This window comes from Homo sapiens, chromosome 9, assembly GCF_000001405.40.
Source record: "Homo sapiens chromosome 9, GRCh38.p14 Primary Assembly".
Taxonomy (NCBI): domain Eukaryota; kingdom Metazoa; phylum Chordata; class Mammalia; order Primates; family Hominidae; genus Homo; species Homo sapiens.
In genome coordinates, this window is record NC_000009.12 from 42970698 (window position 1) to 42989275 (window position 18578).

The 18578-nt window shown below is 40.8% G+C and overlaps 2 pseudogenes, besides 1 other annotated feature; one reads left to right on the forward strand and one right to left on the reverse strand.

The window, feature by feature from the left end:
- On the reverse strand, positions 472-2630 carry CNN2P4 (calponin 2 pseudogene 4; annotated as a pseudogene).
- GXYLT1P5 (GXYLT1 pseudogene 5) lies at positions 4092-5544 on the forward strand (annotated as a pseudogene).
- Positions 14609-14815: a silencer, noted in NCBI's record as "fragment chr9:66333053-66333259 (GRCh37/hg19 assembly coordinates)". NCBI's record gives its function as "represses an EF-1alpha promoter that drives an FKBP-Casp9 reporter gene in an ReSE screen in K562 erythroleukemia cells {active_cell/tissue: K562}" and the evidence as "EXISTENCE:reporter gene assay evidence [ECO:0000049][PMID:32094911]".

An 18578-nucleotide genomic window follows, 5' to 3' on the forward strand; every position in this document is an offset into this window, starting at 1 on the left:
CCTAGGCAGCAAATGGGAGTTAAAGAAAGTCCATATTTCTATATTACAATAACTTACACTATAATACACAGATGGCATACATTTCTAAGCTATTTCAATTCACAGAAAATGTAGATAAATTTAGGTGAGCAAGATGTAAAAGAAGGGTTAGTAATCAAGCTGAGTGTGATTGTGAGATTAAATCTAATATTATCTTATACAATTATTGTATAATTGTATCAGTTGACATATCTGTTGAAACAGAAGGTGGGAGAGTTTTGCATGCGCTTCCGAAATGTACTGGATGATGTTAGGAGAGAGGCGGGTCAATGTGGCTAGGCCAGAAGTGTTTACTAATTGAGGCTTAGGAAAGTTAAGCTCCTAATCAGAGACTGGGAGATAGAGGCGCTAAAGTGTATAACATTTATATTTAATATATATTTAATAATATATAATAAAGTCTTAAAATGCCAATTTTAAGTCTTTTCATTTTCTTCTTAAAAACAGAGGTTTTATTGCGTTTGGTCCACAGTCGGTATTTCACATTATCTCATAGCACAGGGCCCCTGGGTGGAGGGCTCTGTGCAGTACTTGGCGTGGCCTGGGGCCGGGGGAGATAGAGCAGTAGACCTGGTCAGGCCCAGAAGGGGAGAAGGAGGGCCGGGGCTCCTTAAGACCTACTGAGGGCCTGGGCACGGTGGCTCACGCCTGTCAACCCAACACTTTGGGAGGACGAAACAGGCGGATCACATGAGGGAAAGAGTTCCCGACCAGCCTGGCCAACATGGTGAAATCCTGTCTTTACTAAAAATCCAAAAAATTAGGCAGGCGTGGTGGTGGGCGCCTGTAGTCCCAGCTACTCTGGAGGCTGAGGCAGGAGAATCGCTTAAGCTGGGAGGCCGAGGTGCAGTGCGGCGAGATTACTCCACTGTGCTTCAGCATGGGCGACAGAGTGAGACTGCATCTCAAAAACAAAAACAAAAACAAAAACAAACAAAAAACCTACTGAGGGCCACGGGGGTGGGGGAGCTAGGATGGAGAGGGGTCAGACTTAATCCTGGCATCTCAGAATTCCACTAACTTGTACGGGTCTCAGTTTCCTCACCGGGCCCCAGCATAGGTTTGAGGGTCTGAGGTCTGTTGGTCTGAGGGTCCTAGGGAAATCCAGCCACTCAGGAGCCTGAGATATTTTAGCATCATGGCTGGGCCTCCTCTCCCAGGGGACTCATTTCCCAGCACCCTCTCCACTGTCTCCGCCTCATTCCTCGGAGAAGAAAAAAATTTTCTTTCTTTTGTTAATACTTCCTGAAACTTTTGCAGGTACAGAAACCACAAACTGATCGGCTGACAAAAAGGGGAAGAGGAGAGGCAACCAGAAACCTTCGCGGACTGGTTCCCTCCATGCCCAGGTCTCTTCTCCCCAACACAGCTCAGCCCACAGCCTGGAAGTGCCAGCGGGGACCTTCACCCTACACGCATCAGGATACGGCCTTGATCCCTTCCCCCACAGCCCGGTGGCTCAGTCCTGAGAAGGAACCAAAGCAAGGGAAGGTGGGGGAAAAAACCCTGCTGCCTGATCCCACGCTGCCACTCACAGACCTTCGGTTGACTGGCAGCACTGAACAGGTTAAAAAAAAAAAAGATGAGAACACAGAAAAACCCAACACCCAGACGGGGAGACGATGCGTGGAGAGAGCGTGCTGGGAGCCTCAGTAGCCGGTCTCCTCCTGGTAGTAAGGGGCCTCCCCTGGCCCTGGGCTGTTGCCGGCGGAGGGAGCCCCGTGGGCCACTGGGCCACCCGGCTAGTACTTGGTTTCGTATATTTGCCGGCCTAGGCCAAAGACCTGGCCGCTGTGATTGGCAACCTGCGTGTAGCCCATCTTCAGGGACATGGAGGAGTTCTCACACTTGTCGATTCCCAACTTGGTGTCATAGATGTGCCGCTGGGTCCCGGGAGCCGTCATGCCCACCTGGCTGGCGCACTTGTTTGTACCCATCTGGAGGCTGATGGTCGAGTTGTCCATGGGGGGCAGGATGCGGTTCTTGGGGTCGTAGAGATGCCTCCTCGTGCCATATGCGGTCATGCCTGACTGGCTGGCACATTTGTTGGTAATCTGCAGCTGGATGACGCACTGGCTGGCCTTCATGGGCCAGTCGAAGTTCTGCTTCTCTGAGTACTTGTCACGGACGTCCAACCCCGCTCTGCAGCCCCTTAGTCTTGGCCTTCCCTGCCAGGGCGAGAAGAGACACCCGCACCTGCATATTGTTCCCACTCTCAAACAGGTCGTTGGCCTCAAATAGGTCCACGGGATCATGCCGTAGCTGACCATGGCCTTGAGGAAGTTGGAGAGGTTTTCTAGCTAGTGCCAGTTCTACACGGAAGCCGTTGATCTTGGGGACTGAGCCCGGCTGCAGTTTGTTCACGAGTGTGCATAAGATAATCCCGTCCTTCAGGCCCTTCTGGAAGTCGGGGCGGATGGAGAGGCCAGTGAATCCCTTGATCCAGCTGCGGAGCTCTGCCTCCTTCTGGGAGTCATATTTGGGCAGAAGCCTGTTTTGGACGTCCGCCAAGAGCCTGTAGGAGGGACCCTTGTTGAACTGCGTGGAGCTTAGGGCTGGAGGGCGCCGCCGCGGGGCGGATCCGACAGGACCAGCGGCTAAGTCTTTTTTCTAGTTCGCAATGTTTTGTTTTCACCACACCATTGTTTTACTACATATTTTATTGTATGTGTATTGTGTTAAATACACATTTTGTGTATTTAAAAATGTGTGGAAAATGTTAGACCATCTCCCTTTTCTCCACCTTCCCTTTTACCCTTTACTGCCATTTACATCCACACATCCACACACACATACATCCACACATCCACATACACATACATCCACACACACACATACTGACCAAAATTAATTTCGATGTACGAATGGGTTATTTGAAGCGAAAAGTCAATCTATATTAGTAAAAGTGTCATGCCAGTATGAATTATATTTATAATCCCTTCAAGAAGAAAGAACTTCCGGCCGGGCGCTGTGGCTCACGCCTGTAATCCCAGCACTTTGGGAGGCCGAGGCGGGCTGAGGTCAGGAATTCAAGACCAGTCTGGCCAAGATGGTGAAACTTCGTCTCTACTAAAAATACAAAAAAAATTAGCTGGGCGTGGTGGCGGGCGCCTGTAATCCCAGCTACTCGGGAGGCTGAAGCAGAGAATTCCTTAAACCCGGGAGGCAGAGGTTGCAGTGAGCCAAGATTGTGCCACTGCACTCTAGCCTGGGCGACAGAGCAAGACTCCGTCTCAAACCAAAAAAAAAAAAAAAAAAAAAAAAAAAAAAAAAAAAAGTAAAGAAAAGAAAAAGAAAAAAAAAGAACTTCCTTAATTTTTTGAAGAGACTATTCTGTATCCATTTTATAATTTTGTGGCCACTGAAAAAGATATATTAAATCACAGACACAGTGAATGTAGTAAGTGGTAGTTTAAAATGTTAAAATGTTATATCACGCCTGTACTCCCAGCAATTTGGGAGGCTGAGGGGGGAGGATCACCTGAGGTTGGCAGTTCAAGACCAGCCTGGCCAACATGGTGAAACCCCTTGTCTACTAAAAATACAAAAATTAGCCAGGTATGGTGGCACAAATCTGTAATCCCAGCTACTCGGGAGGCTGAGGCAAGAGAATGGCTTGAACCCTGGAGGGGGAGGTTGCAGTGAGCTGAGATCAAGCCACTGCACTCCAGCCTGGACAACACAGTGAGACTGTCTCAAAAATAAAATAAAGTGTTGAATTTTTACAAGTCGTTGTTCCTATTCTAATTTTTAAATGCAACCACAGCCTCTAACAAAACACCCTCGTTACACTAATTCGCTGATAATGAATTCTTAAGTAAAAGGGGAATTCCATAGAAATATATATGGCTCTTTTATGTTTAAGAAAAGTAAGAGCCTGAAAAACAGATGTGTTCTGTAAAACTGAATTACTTTCTATCCAGTTCCACTGGTTCGCAGTGTTTTATCTTTATATTAAAACATATATAAATGATTGATTGATGAATTTTTTTTCTTTTAGACACTGCTGCTGAATCCATGGAGAGAAAAAGGATAAATTTCCAGAACTATGGTCCCTGTGCTCCAGTTCGCCAGGCGGGCGCGGCGGAGACGGAGACCGAGGAACGCGGCTGGGGCCATGCGGCGCTACCGCGCGTGGTGGCGCTGTGTCTGGCCTGAGGCTTCTGCTCGCTCCTTTACGCCTTCAGCCAGCTCCCCATGTCCCCGGAGGAAGGAGCGGGCGGTGGTGGCGGGAAGCTGCAGGCCGCAGTGGCTTCCTGGCTGGCGGGAGGCGGATGCGGTGCGGTGAGAGGCGCGAGCAGTGCTTGTCCCGCTGCGCATCCCCGCAGGTGGGACAGGTGTAGTCTGAAAATACAGCCTGTTGAGAAAATGCATCTAGGTGAAAGACTTGAAAAAACTATGACCATGTTGAAGTCAGCTATTATTTTCAGGATCAAACCTCTTCAATTCCAGATTTTTGCTGAAGATCAACTCATCATAGCTTTAAAGGAAGGCTTGACAGGGGTCATTTCTACAAATATTTAATTATACAATATACTCCATAACCTTTCCAAGTGAGAATGCAGCAGAGTGGAAAAACTCTTTAAACCATGTGGTTTGCAGAGATTGTCCTTGCCGTTATTCCTGAAAGAAGTTGACTCTCACACTGATAGCCTTTTTAAAAGACCAGCTGATAATATTTGGTCTTTACTAAAGAAATTTAATTCCACACAAATTCTGCAATGGCCCCAGAACACAAGGAATGTCAAATAGGATGATATAGTCGCTTTGCTAGGCATCCATACTGTGGAAAAGCTGGAGCAAACTCTGGAGTTATGTTGACAACATGACTTGAATGAAAAGGAAGTATTTCAAAAATAATATGACAACTGTGTGACTACAATGAGAAGATATACTTATGACATGGCTTAAAATATACAAGTTAAACATTACATGGGCGATCAAGATTTGTTGGATATCCTGTTTTTTCATAATCCAGAAAGCCTTTTTGTCTTTCCGTGTCAATGGAAGTGTCGTCCAGATCATTGTCTATATGGAAGCAGTTGCCAAGAAGCAGGAGAAGGAATCTTTATTTTTCACGGGAACAGAGGTGTTTACCATGATGATAAGCAACCAGCATTTAGAGCTGTTTATGAAGCACTGAGAAATTGTTCTTTTAAGATGACAATGTTTATTCATTAATAAAACCTTTAGAATTGGAACTACAAAAAACAGTGCATACATACCGTGGAAAAATTTACTAAATATTTATCAAACAATTAGCAAAAACATAAGAGATCGCTATGTCAGATCACCAAAGGAAAGGTGATTCTTGTTGCTTGCTACATCAAATGGATTAAAAGAACAAAGCATCGGAGGATAAATATGAAGGAACTGTCTTGGGTGAAGCGTTAAGGCAGGAATTATTCATCTACAGAATATTTTTTTTCCTAAAGAGGTTAAATGAGCAGTATTTTCAGGTAATGAAGAATAAGTTAAAATCTTGGGCTTCAACAAAGAAAAATTTTTGGCCTCTGATGTTGTGTAATGTTACTTACTATCATTCCAGTATTGATGAAAATATTATTGAATGGTTTTAGCCTGCAAACTTCTGTTGACTCATACTCTCAAGAGTGGTGGGGCTGTGAAAATGAAGAAAATGTACCTCAAACACAGTGCAAACACTCAGGCAGTGAGTAGAGCAATAATTTTATGTCAGCACTAACCTCACTTTAAATGTGTGAGAGAAAAGTTTGTCTACAGGAGTAGAAACAGTTCTGTTTCTAAAGAAATGTGATGTAACCAATGTAACCATGGATGATCTATATCTGCCTTTATACATTGCATCTCTGTTTTAAAATATTTTTATGATAATCATATTTAAAATTGTTTTTAGATTATAAGGAAGCTGCATGTTAAAAATTGAGCTGTATAAGAAAGAGGAAATATAGTGAAAACTTTGGGGTTTTAATCTGTGCGTGTGAGAGAGAGTGAGAAATATAGTGTTTTCATTGTGTATGCATTAAACTGTTGCTAAAACTCAGATCTAAGATTGTTAAGTAGATATTTAGGGAACTTTTTTATCACTTTAAATGAAAAATTTCAGCTTTACTGGGCATTCTGGAAGCAAAATATGTTATGCTGATGATAAAGTGAGAACCTTAAGAGTACACTCATTTGATGGCGGAAAATGTGATGGACCAAAATGCAGAAGCTATACACGTCCTGTGAGTAGTAATTTTAGTTAAAATGGAGGAGGAAAATGTGGCGCATTTAAACTTTTCTTCTACCTCATAATGGCTTTGCAAGATACTTGTAAAGAAGCAAATGTCTAGAGCCTTACTTTAAGAAAGTTAAACAACTTTGGTGAATGATTTGGATTAAGATTGTTACATCCAGCTATAGAAATGTGGTTTTAATTGCGTTGATGTGAGTGAGTACCTTCCTTTTTTGAATACCACTTAAAACAGTTAACTTTTTAAGTCTTGAAGATGAGAAAAATATTACTTATCTAATATAACTATTTTAATAGTTATCTAATTTATAGTTATCTACTATAACTATACATTCTGAATACTTAGCATGTACTGTGCTGGGGCACATATCTTGTTTTCCCAGCTGCTAAACGATTATCTTCCTTTTCTCCCTGGTATTTTAATGCTCAAGTGGAAAATGGAAAATCATGAAGGAAAAATATCACTTGTGAAAATCGTGGAAGTTAGCTTTATGAAGACACAGTGGCCTCTGTGGGGACATGGGATATGCAGAAAGAGATGGCTAGTACAGTTGTTCTGTCTTCTGCAGTTCAGTCAGGGACATATTGAGAGAGGAAAGTTTAAGCAGGTACATTAGAAATTGATAACCAGCCCAGCATTCTTAGAACAGATGGGTTTAGAGAACACGAGTTGTAGTTCCTTGGCAGAATGCCATGGTGGATATGAGAAACTGTGAACTGTGTTGAAATTGAGCTTGAGCAGAAAATGAGAATACTAAAAATTTGAAGTTCAGAGGGTATGCATTAGATTATTTCTAATGGTCCCCATATATGATCATTGCCTGCCTGACTATATGACTCCTGTTGGGAGCTTGAGAATAGATTGCTGAGCTTAGCCCTTTGGAGACTCTGGTATGCTGTGTCTGGGATGGAGTCTGCAAAAAAAAAAAAAAAAATTTAAAGAAGAGACTTAAAAATTACACAAAACTAGAATAGTGCTTTGGTACTATCAGATTACTTGGGGGGCTATTCGCACTTCGATTCTTCATATAGAGGATGTGAACAGAGAAACATGCAGATAAATCAGTCAATGCCAACTGCTGGGGGAAACGTCCATAGTCTGCAGGTTCCCACAGAAAGGATAGCACTTCCATCCTCTCCCATGAGGGAAAAATAAAGGAGAAAAGCTTTCGGCCTCTCACCATAAGCTCATTCAGTCCTCCCCTTGGGAAGAGAAATGACTTAACTGAGGACTGTGCTTGAAAGTAGCTGTACTGGTGAAACTCAGCCTCTGTGGGTTTCTCTCTCTTTCAGAGTCAGCTCTCTTCAGGATGCGCATTTATTTCTCCCTTTGGAGGAGGCCTCAGTCCACCTCAGCCAAGGACTGAAAGGCACATCTGGCTAATTCAAGACTGGGGTATTGGGAGGTCCCCTTGGCCCCAGATCTATGATATGTTCTCAAGTCCTGAGACCTGCTGACTCTCGTGTCTCATTTCTCAGTTGGGTCATATCTTGGTGTTATTTGTGTTCCCAGCTCTAACAGGAAGGTTCCTAAGCACTCATTTCTTCTTAACCAATTTCTGAAGGTAAAATGTTGGTGAAGAGTGCTCTTTTCTTCCTGCTACCATTAATTGGTGTTTATTTTGTGTCAGGCACTGTTGAGTATTTTACATTTCTTATCTAGTTTGATCTTTACAGCAACTTTATATGACAGACATTGTTCCCCCATTTTTCAGGCTAGAAATCTGAGGCCCAGTGTCCCACAATGGCTGTGTGGTGACACTAGGCTTTGAGCACAGATGGTTGACTTCCAAAGCCTATGTTCCTAACCATTATGCCACTCTGTGTTGTGACAGTGTCAAACATACTTTCATTCATATGTATCTTTTAACTGATCATGTTCTTGTGTGATTTCTTTCAGAAAGGCTTTTACATCAAATATTGATAATGATAATAATAATGAACACATGTTGAGCACTTACCATGTCTCAAGCACTGCTCTAGAGCTTCCCATGAAAGAACCCCTCTAATCTTCAGAACAACCCTGTGAGGTAGGTGCTACTATTACTCTGTTTTCACAAGTAAAGAAACTAAGCACAGCAGATCCACAGTCATTCTGTAGGATGCTGTGTAGAATGGCTCCTGGGACACTGGGAAAGCTCTTCTGCACCTCAGTATCTTCTTTACTGGTTCATTAATGTCTGATATTCCTGCATGAGAAAGCACAACATAGACAGAAAGCTTAATATGTATATACACACACTGAGAGATAAGGCATTGACATAACATCTCATTATAGGTATTAGAAATGCAGTCTCAAGAGCAGGTTCTCGTGGGGTGACAGGCTGGGTATTCTAGGGGAAGGAATATCCCAAGAAAGGTGGCATTACAAAGGAAGAGGAGAAAGAAAGATGTAAATGAGGAGACACTGATTTTCTTCCATTGCAAAGTTTTCCAAGGCTGGCCCCTTTTCTATTACATTCTTACCCAGTAACTCATACTTTCCCTAGAGCTCTTGCAAGAAAGAACTATTGAGAAAGTAGCCCATCTGAAAGTATATTTCTTGCTGTTTGTCTGCTTCCAGAACTGGCTGAAGTTTACTTTTTGGTTCTCCAGAGACCTAGCTTCTTCCAATGTGGTCTATTTAATCTCCTGTCATGTGGGAAATTATATTCAAAATCTCCATGATCCTCTGTCCATAGTAAGTTATGCATGTAGTGAGAAGTACATGCCACAAGGTCTTGAGATTATATCTGCAATGTGTTGCTGCTGGCTGTTGATCAAGATAGGCTGGGAGAAAAACATTATTTTCAGGTGTGAAAAACTGTCACCTTTATCAAATAATTCTTCTTGCATATTTCCCAAGACATTGTAGCCTATTTAAACTCGGGAGGTTAATTTTGTAGCATTCATTATGACCGAAAATGTAGTTCACACAATCATGATGCTCCCTTTATTAGGTGTTACTGTTAAACAATATTAAAATACACACAATGTGGCTGGTCTTTTGTAAGCTACATGGCATGTTTACTTCTTTGCCAGGTTTCTTAATTGCATTTCTTCATCTTTCCGAATACCAGTGTCACTGTCACCCACAATATTTGCTGTTTTGAGCACATGGTTTACATTTTATTTTGCCCAATAATAGAATATGATGGGGACATCTTATCTGAGTGTTTCATAGTATGCTGTAGTTTGAATTCTTGGCTGTTGGTTTCCCAGAGTCCCAGCTCCTGCCACTGCATTCTGCCTTTATAAATGGAGAATAATGGCTCTAAAAAAAATTCACCTAAGAATCTCATGATAGTGGAGAAGGAGGACCATGGAAATGCTAAAGCCTCCCACTCGGCTTCTGTAAATCATGCAGAGGATCAGGAAAATGATTGAAAGTAACGTATCCCAAACAAAGAAGTCAGCTGTATAATTCAAGACCTGTGTCTGGCTGTAAAAAAAACAAAAAACAAACAAACAAAAAACACAAACAAACAAAAAAATGGAAAGAATAACTTTGCTACTCATCTTGTTTGAAAAACTGGAGCAGAATGAGTATCTAGACTCAGTTTCAGAAGAAATGTTAAATACTGATAGGGGCACATTCAAGATCTTTAGGATTTTTTGGGGGGAGGAGAGGGGAACATAAAAAAGCAATAATAAAGATAAATCTGAATGCAGGAAAAATACACATAATCCATGAATCTAACACCTGTTTTCGCATGTTTATCACCTTTGTCCCTATGTAGATCTATGTTTTCTTTCATAGTTGCAGTCATAGAATATATTCTATTCTCTAAGCTTTTATCCTTCAACATTATAGGAGAATGTTGTTCCATGTTACCACATAGCCAACTGTTTCAAAACTTGTCTAGTGAATTCTGTGCTGTTGTTTTCACAGGGAGAAACATGCACATGTATATTACTTGGTTTTTTTTTTTCTGTTGAATCATACTCTTGGAATAAATTTTTTTCAGTGAGGTTTTTGGTTCCAAAAAGTATAAACATTTTGGTGATCTTTAGTAAGTTGTATTGCTTTCCAAAGAAGTGATAGGAATTATACTTGCCACCCCAACAGTGAAAGAATTGTAATTTAATTTCAATGTAACAGAGGATGCTACTCTTGCTATTATATTTTCTATTATAATGAAAACCGTTAAAGATTTAAACCAAGGTGGATTGTCTTTCAGGAGCTGCTGTTAAATGAACACCTTGATATCTTCATTCTTGGAGAGAAATGAGCCAAGGAGGAAGACCATCTAAAAAATACCACTAGACAATTTGTGCTCACTGGAGTGGTATCTGCTGGGCAAAAGGTCTTTAGAATGACTCGTGGATTTTCTGGCAAGTGGCAAACCACACAAGTGCTATGTCAGGCCAGGAAGACAGGTGCAGCCCTGTCAGTGTCAAAGAAGAACACTGGTAGCAGAAGAGCTAAGAGTGAATGAAAATTGAATTATCTTTATTTCTAGGACTTGTCTATTGAGAAACAACAGTGCTGGCAACCATTTACTACCAACAAGAGGCAGTTCCAAGAGAAGAATATAAAATATGCTCTGCTCAATCCCACAAAACTCAGAGTGTCTCACAATGGCCAATTTCTTATTTTTACCCTGTCCAGAGACAAGGAAGGATGTATCAGGGAGCTGCTAGCCTCTGCGATGAATAACTTGAGTCAGGCTGCAACATGTGAAAGAATTCAGCTGATCAGGATTTATAACACTAGCTGGATTTTTTGCTTTCTTTGGGGTTCATGAAGCGTGGTGTTGTGAGATACCACAGGATTCCCAGAATAAAGTTACATACCTATTTCTCTTCCTTATTTTTATTTTTTTGGCACGTTCATACCATTTTATTACCAACATCGTTGGCATCCCTGAGTATGAGAGTTCAGAAGAAACTTAGAGGCTATTGTCTGATTCAATCCTTGCAGCTTACAAAAAGAAATGTGGGGAGCAGTCACTGTGTGACTAGCCTGAGGTCACTCAGGAAGTTAGAGGCAGAACTGCAGCCAGGGTCACCTCTCTTTACTGCTACTAGTGTGCTCTTTCTACTGCACCCTGATCATAAAACATCTCCCAACCCAGGAACAAGGTCTACCGCATAGGTGGTCACAGCAGCATGATCACTATCTCAGTCATCTGTACTCCTCCTTTGCTTTGACCAAAGACACAGGAAGGGACCTTTTGCCCCACATAAAACACCTCTCAGAGGCTTGGCAACAACAACAGATAATAGAGAGCATTGACCTAAGACCAACATTTCAACCATGGTGTCAAAACAATATTTTATTTCAGCAAAGAAAAACTATGTCACAAGTGGATTATTATTACTAATAATCAGACTAGTGGTACTTGCGAATGACTTGGTTTCATACTCACACTTGGACAACTATGCACACTGAGTATAACTGACCTTATGAGAACATCATTCTCACTAAGATTATGATGTGCTTTCTCACGTGAGAACTGTACATAATATTGTGTGTACCCTTGGGAGGATGTCCTGCCTGTGATGTTGTCTTTCAGGGGAAGAAGAATGGTTGAGAATTGAGGGTATATTAAACATTTACTCCTCCAGATTTTTCAAGATTTCTGTTAAGCCAGATCAGAAGAAAGCCATCTATTTGGATTGCATCACTCTAACCTGGTAAGTCGAATTGTCTACACAGAATTATAATTTCACGATATGTCCAGATTACTTACCGAGAGCCAATTTGAGACACAAACAGGACTAGTAAAACATCTTTGCACTGTGGGTAGTGTTGCTATCAAAGACCTTATACATTATGTCATTCAAGAACCTTTATATTAAGATCCTTATGGAAAATCTTTCCCAAAGTTTAACCCTATGATAAAGGGTTTTTTTCTCCTGGTAACATAGTGGGCAATTGGGAACTGTTTAACCCAATGCATTGATTTCATTGATTGTTTTGGTTGCTGAGAAGTATGGATGCTCAGAATAGGTTTTCTTGTTTTCAACTGCTAATTCCTTTATTTAAATTGTAATAAATGTTTCCCTTTACTTCTTTCCTTTTTCTTTTTAAGAAATTTAATGTATTTCATAATAAATTATAAGTTATCAATAGATCAATTAGCATAGAATAGTTTGGAATAATGCTTAGAGATCTCCCATTGAAAAAGACCCCAGTACCATAGGGTTCACAGTTGAGTGTTAACTGAACTTGAACAAATTCTGATTTTATTTAAAATGATCAAAGCCTAGAAAAAAAACTCCTGCAGATCATATGGGGCACATAATAACTAAAAAAAAAAAAGAAACAAAGAGGGGTGGCTTTCTTCAATTAATTTTATAGTGTAATATCAAAGCTTAATAGTTAATATATTTCATCTAATGTAGAATGTCAATGTTTAGAAATCAGACATTATTTCATGTACCATTAGAGATATACTGCCAATTAAACTGTGACTTCCTTACCAAAAGCAAAAAAAGGAATTTTAAAGATATTAAAACATGTAAAGAAGAATATAAGCACTATACTCCCAACCCCTTCAATTAACATGTTAATATTTTATTGCATTGGTTTTCAGTAATTACTTTTAATAAAATAAAGCATTATTAGCTAATGTTCCACCCCTACCACTCCAATCTCATTCTCCTTCTAGGTCCCCCAGGCCCAATTGCTAAAATAAATTTGTTGTACACTTTAAAGTCAATTTTCTATACGTTTGCACATAAATATGTGCATTCGTAGAAAGTATTTTTGTGCTGAGAAGGTAGAATAAGCCCTTCAAAGTTGTTGATGTTCAGATTCCAGTTGGCAAAAGTCTTACACATGTGGCATTAAATATTTTCAGTATTAAACATGCACATTCCACAAGTTCAGCAGTTCTGTAATATACATCCAGAGTCTGCCCTGAGGGATGCTTACAACCTTAGTATAAACTCTCACTCACCCCTTTTAGAGAATAAAACTTACACCTATGTAATGACCAGTCCAGGTACAAGGGTGTCCTCTAAGAACATTCATTCATGTATTCAAAAAATCTTTATTGAGCACCTGCACATTTCATGCCAGGGAGGTGACCTGTGTTCTCCCTACACAACAGGAGAAAGAGTGGTGGCATCAGCAGGAAAGTGCAGTGGAAAGGAGGAGCTGACTTTGGCAGGAAAAAGAACGATATTACTTTGAATTTATCAACTCTGACGTAACATCCTGATAAAAAGTGTCATATCCAAATCACGTTGAAGATTCTCAAAGGACAGTACCAAAGTTGAATAAAAACACAGTGCCTCAAATGGGAAGTAGTATAGAAAGGCCTGAGGCTGGGGTATGGAGGCACACGCTGTGCAGAGAACGAGGGAAAAGAAGAGTGAACAACTGCTCGGGGTGGGGTTGCATTGATGGCGAGAGATGGGTGTAACATGCATTTATGAGGACAGACATGATCAGGTTTAACGAAAAAGAATTTTTTCTTTTTCCAGCAGTCCCACTGTGGGGCATTTATCTACAGGAAAGGAAATCAGCATATTTAGGAGATACCTGCACCCTCATGTTTATAGCAGCCACTATTCACAGTAGCCAAGATTAGAATCAACCTAAATGTCCAAAAACATAATCGATTAAAAATGTAGTGTCTATTCACAGTGGAGTACTATTTAGCCGTAAAAATAATGAAATCCTGTCCTTGGCTGCAACATGGATCAGCCTGGAACACTATATTAAGTGAAATAACCTAGGCACAGAATTATAAATCTTGCATGTTCTCACTCATATGTGGGAGCTAAAAAAAAAACGAACTGAACTCATGGAAGTGGAGAGTAGAATTCTGGTTATTACAGGCTGGGGAGAGCAACAGGGAGGAGAGGACAGGGAGAGGTTGGTTAACAAATACAAACTTACAGCTAGATAGGAGGAATGAGCACACCTATGACACCTAGCTGGGAATCGACAAGTGTGACAACTCCTCCACCTCCACGTCCCTGAAGATGGGATACACGCAGGGCGCTCATCAGAGCGGCCAGGCCTTTGGCCTGGGCCCGCAGATATACGACCCCAAGTACTACTGGGGAGGCCCAGTGGCCCACGGTGCTCCCTCGGGCTCCGGCGACTGCCCGGGGCCAGGGGAGGCCCCTGAATATCTCCCTTACTACCAGGAGGAGACCGGCTACTGAGGCTCCCAGCACGCTCTCTCCACACATGATCTCCCCTCTGGGTGTTTGGGTTTTTCTGTGTTTTCATCTTTTTTTTTTTAACCTGTTCAGTGCTGCCAGTCAACCGAGGGTCTGTGAGTGGCAGCGTGGGATCAGGCAGCAGGGATTTTTCCCCCACCTCCCCTTGCTTTGGTTCCTTCTCAGGACTGAGCCACCGGGCTGTGGGGGAAGGGATCAAGGCCGTATCCTGATGCGTGTAGGGTGAAGGTCCCCGCTGGCACTTCCAGGCTGTGGGCTGAGCTGTGCTGGAGAGAAGAGACCTGGACATGGAGGGAACTGGTCCCTGAAGGTTTCTGGTTGCCTCTCCTCTTCCCCTTTTCTCAGCCTATCAGTAAGTGGTTTCTGTACCCGCAAAAGTTTCAGGAAGTATTAACAAAATAAAAAAATTTTTTTTTCCCGAGGAATGGGGCGGGGACAGTGGAGAGGGTGCTAGGAAATGAGTCCCCTGGGAGAGGGGGCCCAGCCACGATGCTAAAATATCTCAGGCTCCTGAGTGGCTGGATTTCCCTAGGACCCTCAGACCAACAGACCTCAGACCTACACTGGGACCCCGTGAGGAAACTGAGGCCCGTACAAGGTAGTGGAATTTTGAGTTGTCAGGGTTAAGCCTGACCCATCTCCATCCTAGCTCCCCCACCTCCGTGGCCCTCAGTAGGGTTTTTTGTTTGTTTTTGTTTTTTTTGAGATGTAGTCTCACTCTGTCGCCCAGGCTGAAGCGCACTGGAGTAATCTCACCTCACTGCACCTCGGCCTACTGGGCTCAAGCGATTCTCCTGCTTCAGCCTCCAGAATAGCTGGGACTACAGGCGCCCGCCACCACGCCTGCCTAATTTTTTGTATTTTTAGTAGAGACGGGATTTCACCATGTTGGCCAGGCTGGTTTGGAACTCTTGCCCTCATGTTATCTGCCTGTTTCGTCCTCCCAAAGTGTTGGGATGACAGGCGTGAGCCACCGCGCCCAGGCCCTCAGTAGGTCTTAAGGAGCCCCGGCCCTCCTTCTCCCCTTCTGGGCCTGACCAGGTCTACTGCTCTATCTCCCCCGGCCCCAGGCCACGCCAAGTACTGCACAGAGCCCTCCCCGCAGGGGCCCTGTGCTATGAGATAATGTGAAATACCAACTGTGGACCAAACGCAATAAAACCTCTGTTTTTAAGAAGAAAATGAAAAGACTTAAAACTGGCATTTTAAGACTTTACTATATATTATTAAACATATATTAAATATAAATGTTATACAATTTAGCGCCTCTATCTCCCAGTCTCTGGTTAGGAACTTAACTTTCCTAAGCCTCAATTAGTAAACACTTCTGGCCTAGCCACGTTGACCCGCCTCTCTCCTAACATCATCCAGTACATTTCGGAAGCGCATGCAAAACTCTCCCACCTTCTGTTTCAACAGATATATCAACTGATACAATTATACAATAATTGCATAATATTAGATTTAATCTCACAATCACACTCAGCTTGATTACTAACCCTTCTCCTACACCTTGCTCACCTAAATTTATCTACATTTTCTATGAATTGAAATAGCTTAGAAATGTATGTTGTCTGTGTATTATAGTGTAAGTTATTGTAATATAGAAATATGGACTTTCTTTAACTCCCATTTGCTGCCTAGGAAATACCAATATTTTCTAAGCATGGCAAGTGTTTCCAAGCATTCAGAAGTGGAGAGTGTGGGAAATCCACTGCAGAATGAGGTCTGCTTGTCATCCTCTCAGTCTCAACTGCTCTCCCTCCTTCATCGCTCTCTGTTTCATTGGTGAGTATAGAAGATCAGGCATTTTTATATGAAATGAAAATTGATGGAACTAAGGTGTTGATTTGAATATCCAACCGACCATTTATTGAGTGTCCATTACAAGTTAAATTGTGTTGTAGAGAACAGCTCAGGAAATGAATGCTTGACATTGATGTACATAACAAAAATACAAACATACCATTAAAAAATCAGACCTCTTATGAGCATCCAGATTCTCATGTAAGTTTTGTGAAGCTCTTTCAAAATGAGAATGTAAAATTTCAAAAAAAACATCATTTTCACAAGTCATTCTTGAGACAGAAAAGTGGAAATAGAAGTTCATATATGGATGTTTCACTAGCTCAAATCTTATGTACAGTTTTTAATCAATTGACACCCATATAATTCTTAGTTTTATATACTGATAGTCATTAGAAATTACAAATTTTAAAAAATATTCATGTCTCATTCTACGAATCAATCTAAAAATTGCATTCATTTGGTTATATTTCTTCATTTTACCTGGCCTTGAATACTTCTTTCCTGCCCAGCATTAAATTTAATTAATGTCTAATTTGTTTACTTGGTTTAGTTATTTTGGCCATGTTCAGTACACTTGTTATGAAGCAGGCATGTAGGAATGTTGACAAGTTTATGGTCCTCACTCTTCCAAATCCCTAATGGCGGCACCCCAACAGACACATACCACAATGTAAACACATACACACACACACAATCACACCCACCCATACTCACCCACGTACACACAGACACACACACACACTCCAGTGGATCAACACATAAAACACTCCACAGGCAGACATCGTACAGCAGGGATCTCTTAGTGCACTACACACTTCTGTAAATTATCAGGACTCTTCAATTGAGGTGAGTCTACAGAGATTTCAAAGGCTATTTGAGTGCTAAGCTATCTAACTAGTGGTTGGACACTATTTAAATAATGCATTAAACACAACTCTTGAGGCTCTGAAGAATTTCTGTGCTTTCCAATGAACCAGGAGTTACAAGGTTCTGAAAGCCACAACTGTGTTACATCCTTTAATAGATAAAGCAAAGCTGATTTTAATGTGAATATACTTTATAGTTATTTCTATTCCTGTTAATTTTTGTTTGCTTGTAATACACATTTTTATGTAACTGGGAGTAAGGAACATCTTAGGAAAAATAAAACAAAAAATAAAATTTCGCTGTTTACACTGTGCCTTGGTCCAGTAACCCTGCACTGCACATATACACTTTAAATTGGTGTCTTGGGGAACCACTTTGGTATTTCTTTTTTTTTCGTTTATGTTGTAAACCTTTCTTGTAAAAATAAACAAAAAAAAAGACAAACACATTAGACTATGTCAACATGAGGTCAGGATAATCAATGTTACTGTCTGAACCTCCACATCTTGTCCCACTGAAAAGGCTTCAGAGGTAGTTACACTCATGGAGTTGTTATTTCCTATGGTAATGATGGTTCTTTCTGTAATACTTCCTGAAAGATTTGCTTGAGGCTATTGCACAGATTTAACTTTTTTTCCATAAGTAGAAGGGGTAATTCTAATGATAAAAATTGTAGTATATAAAACACATAAACCAGTAACAGAGTTTATCATTATCTAATACTATGTACTGCACACAATTGCATGTGTACTTTAGTATCACTGAAAGAAGAGCAAATTTGTTTATACCATCATCACCACAAGTACTAGGAATACATTTTGCTACAATGTTGGGTGGCTTACAATATCACTGGATGATAGAAATTTTTCGGGGCCATTAGAATCTTATGAGGCCAACATCATACATATATGGTCTGTCATTGACCAAAACATAATTATGTGGCACATGAGTGTATATATCAGATACATAAATCAATATATTCAACATTTCTCCCCTGCTTATCCTAATGATAAAGATGATATAAAATATAATTTAAAAAATATAAGAAGAAATGTCGTAATGGTCTCTATATTAAAAACTAGAGTTAAATTGTTTAAAAAATTATAAGTAGATGCTAAATACACAGATTGAAATACATTAAATACATTAAGAATGTTTGTTCTGTTTCTTATATATTGCTGGTTTTCTGTCATTGAAAGTTTAATTTAGACCTCCTTATTTCATGTAATCACCCCAATAATTTGTCTTACAAACAATTAACAGAAGTTAACACTATATAACATAGTTGTATATTGTCTTACTCTTACAATGGGATACTTTCCTTTTCATGAGGGAAACAGTAAGCTATAAAGTTTACACAATCTGAGATGTAGATAAAGATTGACATGCAAGATTGCTTCTAGATATATCACTTTATAATGGTAACATAAAAAAAGGAAAGTAATGTGTAAAATATCTTCTAATGCAACCCTTTCCACTCTTCCTGACTCTCATTGGCCTTTTTTTTTTTTTTTTTTTTTTTTTT